At 48.6% G+C, this 10667-nt stretch overlaps 1 protein-coding gene across 4 annotated transcripts in view; it reads left to right on the top strand.

Moving 5' to 3' along the window:
* CDH11 (cadherin 11) overlaps positions 1336-10667 on the top strand; it is a 179992-nt gene continuing 170660 nt past the window's right edge. For 3 of the 4 annotated variants that reach the window (NM_001330576.2, NM_001797.4, NM_001308392.2), the window contains exon 1: positions 3017-3200. The gene's annotated coding sequence lies outside the window, so the exon portion shown is untranslated. Of the gene's footprint in view, positions 1407-3016; positions 3201-10667 lie in introns of those variants that run through there. The other variant, XM_047433486.1, reaches the window with a different exon arrangement.

Here is a 10667-nt window from a genome sequence, read left to right as displayed (position 1 = left end):
TTCTATAAGTTTGCCTTTCCAGTTCATATAAATGGCCATTTCATATAAATGAAAATCATACAATATGTTGTTTTTCATTTGGCTTTCAGCATATGTTTTTGAAGTTCATTCGTGATGTAGCAAACATCAGTATTTCTTCCCCTTTTATTGCTGAACAATATTCCATGGTATGGATACACCCTGTTTTCTTTATCTACTCACCAGCTGATGGGTATTTATGTTGTTTCTTTTGTTTATCTGCTCACCAGTTGATGGGTATTTGTGTTGTTTCCAGATTTTGGCTATTATAAATAAGGCTGCTATGAACATTCTGGTGTGTGTTTTTGTGTGAACATGTTTCCTGTTCTCTTGAGTAGAATCCTAACTTGCTGGGTTGTGCAAAGGGTTATTGACTGCTGCTATACACTAGGTTCCATCTGATTCAGGTGTGTAGTGTCAGTGGAAACTTATCAAGCAGTTTTTAACTTACTTTTTAAAATCGGCTGATGCACCCATTACTAAAGGGATGGTCTATAAAAACAACTGTTGTGATTCGATAAATGCTGAACAGAGAGGAGAGGTCAAAGTCCAGCTAATGTCAGCTGACATGTGGCCAGGTTCATCTTTGGACACGCTTCCAAAAGGGAGTTTATGAAACTTGCTTCATGGATCAAGAGATGTCCTAATCATTACAGATCCCGGGCATCTTTGTATAATATATGTATGATCAGATTGATCGTGACTTCACACTCCCTCTAGGACCACGTGGAAGGGTTGAGAAAATCCAGGCAATAGTTTGTAGCCAAACAAGAGCAAAACTCGAGTACCTCTGAGGGAAAGCCGGACCCCTTGTCCATCCTCTCCTGTGTAAGTAACTTCATTTATAAGCTGAAATGACGCCACCAGATCATCCTATTACCATCACCATGCCTCATTAGAGTGGGGACTTTCGGCGGTGGCTTGGGAAGTACCCAAAGTTTTAGGGGTTACAGCAGAGGCCAAAAAGGCAGACAGAGGAAGCAGGGTAGAGCTCTGAAAAGGTTCAGGGCCAGGGACCCACAGGGGGAGGCAGGAGTGGCAGGCACCACGATCTGCTCTCTGGCGCTCTACAGGAAAGCACCGGGAGTCAATGTCCTCGCGCGTCCCTTGCGCAGAGTGTGGTGCGAGGTTGGGGGGTTACTGGAGACCCAGGGGGCTATCACCTTGGACACCTATGGTGGGGGGAAGGCTGAGGAGTAAGATAACCGGGCAGCTGGAAACTTACAGCTCTTCCCCCGCAGTGGAGGAATGAGGAGTTCAAAGGCCACGTCCACACAGAGGGTGACAGAGGCATCCTCTCCGCGCAGGACGCGGACTGGGGGCAGGCACGCAGCGCCACCCGGATCCTGGAGTCGTCAAGAAAAACGCGGGCGCGCAGGCCGAAGAGGGTAGGTCCCGGGGCAGCCTCGCCGGCACCCGCCCCCGCGGGCGTCTCCCCAAGCCGTGTGGAAACCCGGGCGGCTGCGGGCGCTCGGGACCCGCGGGCTGGTGACCAGGAGCTGGAGGGCAGGGCTCGGCCGCTCTTGCCTTAGCCCCGCACTGGGGTTCCTTCCCCATGCGCTCAGGATCCCAAGCTTTCTCTTCCGTTTTCGGCCTCTTTTTCCGTTAACTCCTGGGCCCGTCTCCTCCCCTCTAGCCCTTTCAAACTGCTTGGCTGTGGCGCCCAGCTTTCCCTCCGCAGCCTCCTTCCCCGTCTTTTTCGCGGGTCCATCTCTTCTCCTTTCCCAGCCTCATCCCCGTCCCCCTAGGCGGTTCCTTTTTAGCCTTCACCCACTGGCGTCTCCACCTTCCTCCGCCTCCTCTCTTGCCTCCACCTCCCACCCTGCAAACTTGTTCAAGCCAGGGGTCCCCACACAGGCATGGTTGTTCCCTGCTGGGTGTGCGGATCCCCACGCCGTTCCCGGTACCGCGAGCGCCCCGCCCAGTCCTTGGCGTGATTCCTAAGCCCCGGCCCTGCCAGCCCTTTCTCCCGGCGACTCGGGGAGGGAGGGCAGGAAGCAGGCCCGGGGAACCCTCACGGTAGCGAGTCGTCAGTGAGGGGAACAGCGGAGGAAGGAGCTAGGACTCCGGCGCTGCGCCCCATTAGGCCCTTTCTCCCGTAGAAACGCACACTCCACCGGGCCCTGGCGGGTCTGTAGCGAGGGAGTGGCAACAAGTGACACTACCGGCGGGGGCCACTGATACCTGGCTGGGGTAGGGGCCAAGGCACCCTCCCAAAAGCTGGAGCGAGGCCGACCCCGGCGAAGCGCTCCCCGCGCACCCCTCTCCGAGGCGTTGCGTGGGGGGCACTAGACGAGAGGAGAGCTGAGAGAGAACGGAGACTGGGCTCTTCCCAAGTCCTAAGTCTCCCTCCCCGCCCGACTTCACCACCAGAGCCACCAGAAGAGTTTGCAAGGGATGGGAGATTGAGAGGGGTGGGGGCTGGGCAGGAGCCGCCAACGTTGAGGGATTTTTGGAAGGTGGGGTGGTGGAGTGAGAAAGAATAGAACGCGCTCCCGAATTCCCAATTGCTTCCCTCACTTGGACGATACCTTCCCCCAACCACCATCCCGGCCCGCCAGGCGAGAGCCCAGCCTGGCCAGCTGGAGCGGATTTGGGGGAAGGAGGAAAATGGGGGCTCCCAACCCCTCTCCAGCTTCCCTCCGCCGCCCTCCCTGATTGGCTGTGCGTCCCTGGAGCCCAACTTCAGTCGCTCCAGACTCCATCTGAGCCCTGAGGGAGTCGGAGCGCCGCGCCACGGGGCGGGAGGGGCGGCCACGAATCCAGGGGTTAGCATCTCTGGGCCCCTGGGGGGAGGGGCGCGGACGGGGTCGGCCCCCGCAGCCTCTGCGAGGCCCATCTCGCTGCCTCTCGCAGCCTCGGCTTCTCTCAGCCCCCGCCCTTTCCTTCCCTCACAGCGGCAGCCTCCCTCCTCCCGCCCCCCCCGCCCCGCACCCGCCTGCCCGCCCGCCACCTCCCCCCGGTTTCTCATTCCTGCCACTAGCGCGCTCGGCGGCTCATTCCGCGGCCGCCGCCAGCTGAGGGGAGCGTCGCGGGCCGAGGAGCAGATGCCGCGGGGGCCGCTCGCAGCCGCCGCTGACTTGTGAATGGGACCGGGACTGGGGCCGGGACTGACACCGCAGCGCTTGCCCTGCGCCAGGGACTGGCGGCTCGGAGGTTGCGTCCACCCTCAAGGGCCCCAGGTGAGGTGCGCCGCCAGTCCCTTCCTCTCGCCTGGTTGGGGCTTCTTGGAATGGGGGGCAGGATTTTCTCAGGAAGAGAATGTCTTGGCGGGGCGGGGTGGTGAGGGGGACGGTGGTATCTGAGTCGAGAAGGCTTCACTAACGCAAAGCAAAAGGGAGGGAGAGATTTGTTTAAAAATCAGAAAGGGAGAAGGGAGCCAGCTGTGGGCGCGGGCAAAGCAGGGGACGGAGGCTTCAGATGTGCGCTCCACGACTCTCCCTGGCTCCGGCCTCCTGTGGGGTCTGCGCCGAGGCCACAGCAGAGGGGGTTTGTACCTGGCTGGGGCAAGAGACTGCAGAGCAGACCTCCGGACACGCCGACTGTCCCCGGTCATATCTCTGGGGAAAGTCGCCCACGGCGCGGTGCCCGCCAGCCCTGCGCCGCTTCCCCAAAGCGGCGACATGACCGCGCTCTGCGGGGTTCTTACTCCATCCTCCCGGATCCCTGCCGAAAGCTCCCCGGGGCTTAGTCCCTGCAGTCGAGACTGCCGGGTAAGCCCGGGAAAACGGAAAGACCCCAGCTCCGGAAGGAGATTGCCCGCACTTTAATAGCGTGGGTTTGGGGCCGCCGACTGTGGTTCTGGGGCAGCAGGCTGCGGTGCGCTACAGCCCTCCAGCCCGAGTCTCTGCGGGAGCTCTGGCGCCCGTTTGTAAGCTCCCACCAGCGCAGGAGTAGGTCCATGAGCGGCCCAGACTCGGGCTCGCCTCTGGCTTGGGATTGGCGAAAGCTGCCAGGGTCAACGTTAACTTTGAGAACCACACCTTCCCGAAACCTGCGCCGCTTCTCGGAGCGCGCCAAGCCTCTCTAGCTCCCGGCACGCACGGCCTCCCTCCCTGCGCTCTGCCCCGGAACGCGAGCCGGGAGGTGGGAAGCACTGAGAAGCTGGCCAGATGGGGAGGACGGCGAGGAGAGCTCCCTTCTCCCCCCTCCCCAACCCAGAGGAACTGTAGGAGGGCCCGCCTCACGCTGTGAAGCGGAGTCCCCAGAGAAAGTGGGGTCGGGGGAGGCTTGCGGGTCCGGCTTCCTTGTCCGTTTTTTTGCCGAGGCCCTGCTTTCGCCCGGGGCTCGCCGCGCCTGCCTCTCCCGGGTGAAAGGTTTTCTAGGTGCTAGAAGAAGCCCTGTTGCTTTTGCTGATAATGCAGTAGGAATTTCATGGGCCATCACACTGCTATTAAGAAATCGCATCTTTTAATTATTTAATACCATCCCTGCCTGACGACGGGTTATCCCTAAGGGATGGGAGTGGGGGGTTGTTCTTGAAACCCGGCTGTATGAGGGTATAGATTTCACTAAAGTCTTCCCCCTTCGTCTCCCCCTAAAGAAATCGTGCTACGATCGCTCTGAAATCTTTTCTTATTTTCTTCTTCTAATCATGGCTATCGGTTTAATATGAGGCAGTAAGTTTTCGTTTTAATCACAGGGAGGCTACCATAATTAATCTGGCTAGAGGACGGATCAATTTCCTCATCACTTGGGCTTGCAGCAGACGTCGATGGTTTTGCGGGGTGTCTGGATTTCCTGGGGATGGGGATGCAGATGTGTTCTCAGGAGCGAGGATCCTGTAGCATCGCATGAGCACATTTGCCAGGCTGGGCTCTGAGCGCTAGAGCCTAATATGTTGGCAGAGAAGAGAAGGGACTGACCTTCTTTTCGTTAATCCTGGAATTGTTTTTCCTACAAATACGTAGGTGCAGACACCAGAACAGAAATATTAACTGCCCAACCCTAGCTGCAGGGAGCCTGGTCTTCTTCCAATAGGACAAAGGAAAAAAAGTTACAAAACAAAGGGACAGAGTTGTGGCCAATACGAGAAGCACTCTGAGGCTCCAGCTACTGAAGTTCCTTAAATGTAATCTCTGATTCCAAGTTTTAGAGTTGGCCAGTGGGCTCTGGAATTCGAACCTCTGTGAAAAACTGAAATCCAGCCTAGTACAAAAGGAATGTGAGTGCTTTTCAGTAGAGACCAGGGAAAGGCATCTGAAAGGCCAGGAAACTTTGCTTGAGTAAGGATTATCTTTACATCTTACTTTTGAAACATTGTAAATTAAGACATTAAAATGTCTTGCAGGCATGCACTATTATTAATAAAAATTATTACTATCATTTTAGTTGTTACTTCAGAGTCTGCATAAACTGGGCATTTTATGACATTGTTTGAAAGAATAAACCACCCTCCTCACCCCTGGGAAAGGGGGAATGAAGGCAGGCCTTGGAAGGATTGAGACTGGATAATCTGGCGAGCCCCAGACATGTAGATTTATTCAAATGGCTGCTTATTGCTGCCTAGGAAAATAAGCTTTTAAAATAGTTCTAACTGAAGCAGTGGACCATCTTGATAGCACTTCAGAACTTTCATTACGTTCAGCATTCTTATCAGAACACCAGACAGTAAAATTACTAGAAACCTAAATTCTATTTTCAATTAAGATGCAATCTTTTGTTAATTTGAAAATTTAAAAAAAATAGTTATGGCGCAATTTTTTTTATGTCTTAGAACTCATGTTCCCTCTGTAGAGTGGTGGCTGTGGATGTGCATGTTTGATTGTTTATTTGTGGGAGGAGGGGGCAGGGGACAGACTTGGAGAGCCACGCCATGATTTGGGGGAATACGGATCAATTTCATGCTCTTTTAATGCACTTGTCTTCATAATTCATGGTTTTTCTTCTCCTTTGAATAGAATTACATGGCTGCTTTGTAAAGATTCTGGTTTGGGGACCCTCATATGGGAAACGCCATGACATTGACCTCGTGGTCTGATTTACAATGCCAGTACTGCGCTCCCAGGAGCATAGCATGTCCTGGAACCTTGCCTGTGAATGCCTGTGACTTATGAAGTGGTAACTTATGAAGTTGGTAAACTTTGATCTCTTATATTCAAATCTGTTTTCAGAACCATCTAAACAAGATCTTCAAATCTGATTTTAGTCTTCCTTCATTCTCAATACATGTATGTAGGTAGATGTTGGAGAAACATAACAATTTCATTGGAATTTACTTTCAATATTGATGTTTTCACTTTGATGACAGGCATACTTACTCATTCAATAATAATAAAACAGTGGAATATATAGAGTTTGAAAGTAGGTATCAAACTTTTTTTCTTGAATTGTCAAATTTGAAGAATGACTATGAACTTTCAAGTTTTTTTTTCCTAGAAAATTTGAGCACTGTATAAATTCACTAGCCAATGATTTAAGGGATTGAAATGTGTTTGGGATGATTTTCTCCCTTATGGAATTGGCTGCTGTTTCATAAAAAGTTACCTAATTTGTCAAGAATCCCTATTCTGCACTTACCAAGAATTGTGAGTTTTCAGCCTTTTTAATTTAAAGTTATTGCCTCTGAAATATATAAAAGTAGTTGGTCTATATAAATTTGTGATTTAATTGATTAGGGGGAAAAACATCAACAGGTCTGCTAAAGAAAAAGAAAAATAAAGTTGGAGAAAATTGGACACATCCTGGTGCACTGGTAGGAGTTAAAAATGAGCTGTTCCATCAGGATTCCTGTGATAGCCATCCGCAGCCTCCCCTATGAGCAGGAAGGACTAAAGAAAACACTCGAGGAGCATAATTAGACATCTTTCTGCTATAATTTTACCCTGACATTGAGAGCCTTGTACAACTCTGGAAATGGACTCCTTCGCGGAAGATTGCACTTCTGGCCACTAGAGGGCAATGGCACCCTTCTCCAACTGTCTGCATGGAGCCCATCTGCTTTTGAGGGCATCATGAAAAGCGGTTTTGTTACTTACAAGCCTTGTCTGGCCCTCTCAGGAGAGACCGAATTCAATCTAGCTGTGGTTCAAGCTACTGCTCGAGCAGTTGGTCAGGATTAGCATCTCTCTAGTGGGTGGATCCTGTTACCTTCAGCATCTTCTTCCCACCTTGGAGTTTACTAGAAAGTTGGGAAATCCTGTAACTTGACATTGAGCAGCAGCCGGGGTGGGGGCTGGGCTGCAGGATAAACAAGGTCAGCTCTCACTGAGACAGTGATCTGGGAGGATTTTCTGGATTTTTTTCTGGCAAAAAGAGCATCATTTCTGACTCCAAGTGGAAGGGAATGGATAAAGAAGAAAAATATCAGTGAGACTACCGTGACACCATTGCCCGTTCTTTCATGAGGTTTTGAAGATGTCTGCAAGACACTTCTAATTTGCAAAAAGGAATAGCAGTTTGATCTTCGGTAAACACTTTGGGGCATGGAATTTTAATATAGCAGTAAATGTTTTACTGTTTCTTTTAAACCATTCTTGATATTGTTGTGAAAAACCTAACTTTAGCAGAGAGTAAAATTTAATTCAAGATTGTTCCTCGTGCACTGGAGTATAATCATTTGATTTTTTTTCTTCTCAGCGATATGGAAATTATGGCTTATGATTAAATTGCATATTCCAGGCTACACAAATTTATATTTGCTCCTGTTTGATAGTGTCATGAAAGTTCAGGAGGAGAATGCAAAAAGAAACTAATGCTATATTATAATTAAGAGGAAAACTCCATTAAAGAAATAAGTACTGTTTTAAGTGGCTACTTATTTGTGTTTTTTGTCTTAAGTGAGTACAGTTGCCTCCCTGGTGATTCAGCAATGAAGTTCTTTGCAGCTCTGAGCTGTGTTGGAATGCGTAGACAGTTGATGAAGAAGGAATCAATGCAAATGGATTATGGGAGGGAGTATTAAGTAACTCAGTGGAAAGTAAGACAAAGTGTTTTGTAAACTGACGTTCACTTACCATTGGACAGTTTATTTAACTTTAAAAGGGGCAATTTTAAATTCTAAGCTCTTGTGAATAATGCACATTGTTTGAACTGGAGGCAAAATTTCATTGTTATTTGGTTTAATTAGTCATGAGACGGTTGCAGAGTTCAGGGATTCTTATTGAGACAAAGCATTTCTCTCACAGTCTGTATGGTCGAGGTTTCTGCTCAATCAGAAAATCTGGTACATCGGGATATTAAGTGAGAGGAATGTGAGAGAGAAGAGAGGGAAAGGAGGAAGAAACTCAAAAGTATGAGAGAGACTAATGATGCTATTTCTTATGGAGGCCAATTTCTGATCTTCGTACCTCTCTCTCTCTCTCTCTATCCTTATTAAGCCAATTGAAGAGCTGAATCTAGGAAGTTGATATAAACAGCTTTAAACAGCTTTAAAGACTGCAGTAGACAGTAGCCAAGGTCTTATTCTGTGTTTTCTGGCACCAAGTGTCCCTCAAACAATATTTGTGAATGAGCAGGGGTTTATTCTCAAAATTTCCTGGTTGCTGCAGGTGAAAAAAAGCTTTCACTTCCTAAACTCCACACCCCTTATTTGCCAGAAATCCTCCTGACATGGTCCTCTGCACTGGAATGATTTTCACAAATTAAAGTTAGCTCTCCACATTCAGCTCTCTTGAAGAAAATGGCCTGGAGCCCGGCTTTGTCCTTACTATGATGATCACCTCGCATGGCAACCAGTGTGGTAGGGGAGGCTCCTCCCTGGTCTTAGTTTAAGACACGTAGAGATCTCATTTCAGCCTCCATTAGGCTCCATCAGTGAGAGCAAACAGTGAGAATTTAGGGTAGAGTCCCTGCTATCGATGCATCTTTATTCTTCTCAATAAGAGCAAGGGTGGAGGAAGCAAGGATAGGCATAGCAGCTCAAATTGCTTCACACCTACCCTGCCTCGGATTGCTGGCAATGTTTTACCCATAAACTCATTCTGGAAAGTTCAGTTTTCATCATGCTAGAGGCTTGGACCAGTTATTCATTCTTGGAAGCAATAGTGCCCAGCAGCGGGGCCAGGATGAGGGTGAAGAGAGTAAGTCCAAGGCCTGTAAGTGCACGGCTGGATTCTGTCTTGATTGAAAATTTTGTCTTTTGCTCATCATAGATTTTTTCCCCACTAATCTTCATTATTTATTTACTTTTTTAGAGACAGAGTCTCACTCTGGAGTGCAGTGTTGTGATCGCAGCTCATGGCTGGTCTCAAACTCCTGGCCTCAAGCAATCTTCCTGCCTTGGCCTCCCAAAGTGCTGGGATTACAGATGTGAGCCACTGTACCTGGCCAACTAATCTTGATTTTTAAAATAATGCATTAAAGTATTACTTATTTTGATTACTGAGGTTTTGTTTTTTTGTTTTTTTTTTTTTTGGTGTAGCCTTATATTTTGTGAGTGAGGAGTTTTGCCTCCATTACTTACAAAGTATGTGACCAAGAATAAGCTATATAAGCTCCCCAAGACTCAGGTGTCTTCTTGGTAATGATAGACCTAATAATAATATCTATATCCTAGGATTCTTGTAAAGATAAAATGAGAATTTAGTGCAAGGCCTAGCTCACGATGAGCCTTCAGTGTGTGCTGGGGTTGCTTGCCCTGTCTGAAATAGACTTGGGATTCAGTTTTATGGACTAATGAGAACAGGTAGCAGTTCTTTCTTATCCATTATAAGGCCAGAAATCTTGCATTGAACATTTGTTTTAGATTGAGGCCTCTCCCAATTAGCAATGAATTGTTTATTAGTGCCTGCCTTTTTTGAATGATTTCGTAAATTTAAGTGATCCATCCCTCTTCCACTTAAAATATTCAAGAGGCAGTTGGGATTTGAGATTTGAGAGATAATTACTGCTTTTGAACACTGCCTGCCTCCTTCCTACCTTTGCATTTTTTCCCTCTGTTCGTTCTGCGTATGGGTTGCTGTGGTAAGTTACCCTGCAGTAATACCTTACTGGGAAAGTTTGCTAAGCATGCCATATTGAGATATTCATCACAGGTTTGCTTTCGTTTAAAAGGGGCTCATTACTATTCCAGACTAGCTCAAAAGATAATTAGTCTCTTGATAAATCGTCTCCATTTCAAGACTGTTCCTGTTTGTTTTTCAGGTAAATGTAGTTTGGGATTGTAAGGGGTTTGAGCAGTGACAGTTTTAACTCATAAATAGACTGTGGCTGAAAAAGTCCTGGACCTGCCTTGTGGGTTTCTGTCTTTTGCAGGCCCAGGCAAAAGCACAGTGATTTGGCATCATGCTAAAAATAACGGAGTCCTCACCCTCTCTTAAGCCCTGAATGGTTTCCAACTGTTTCTCACCCAAAATCACAGCCAGGCTGGGCTTTCCAAGGCTCCTGGACCTTCCAGGTTGTCCTGCAGTTTCCCATCTGCGGCTCGCCGGTGTCATCTGTTCTTGCTCCAGGCTGGCGTTCCCTCCTGCCTGCACCTTGCAATGAAAGGGAATATCTGTCTGTGTTTGCCGGGGAAAAGGAAGGAGAGAGAGACAACTTTTTGAGATCCTACTGTGTGCCGGACGCTCTACTCGGTACCTCATCTAGTCTGTACAACCCCCCGAGAGGAAGGTACTTTCATCTCTATTTACAAATAGGAAAATGACTCTCAGAGGGAATTTAAGACACTTATCTAAGCTCATGAGTCTGGGGAGAAGGAAAGCTGGCTT

This window comes from Homo sapiens, chromosome 16 (assembly GCF_000001405.40).
Source record: "Homo sapiens chromosome 16, GRCh38.p14 Primary Assembly".
Taxonomy (NCBI): domain Eukaryota; kingdom Metazoa; phylum Chordata; class Mammalia; order Primates; family Hominidae; genus Homo; species Homo sapiens.
Note: the sequence above shows the minus strand (reverse complement) of the source record. Positions and strands in the feature narration are given on the sequence as shown.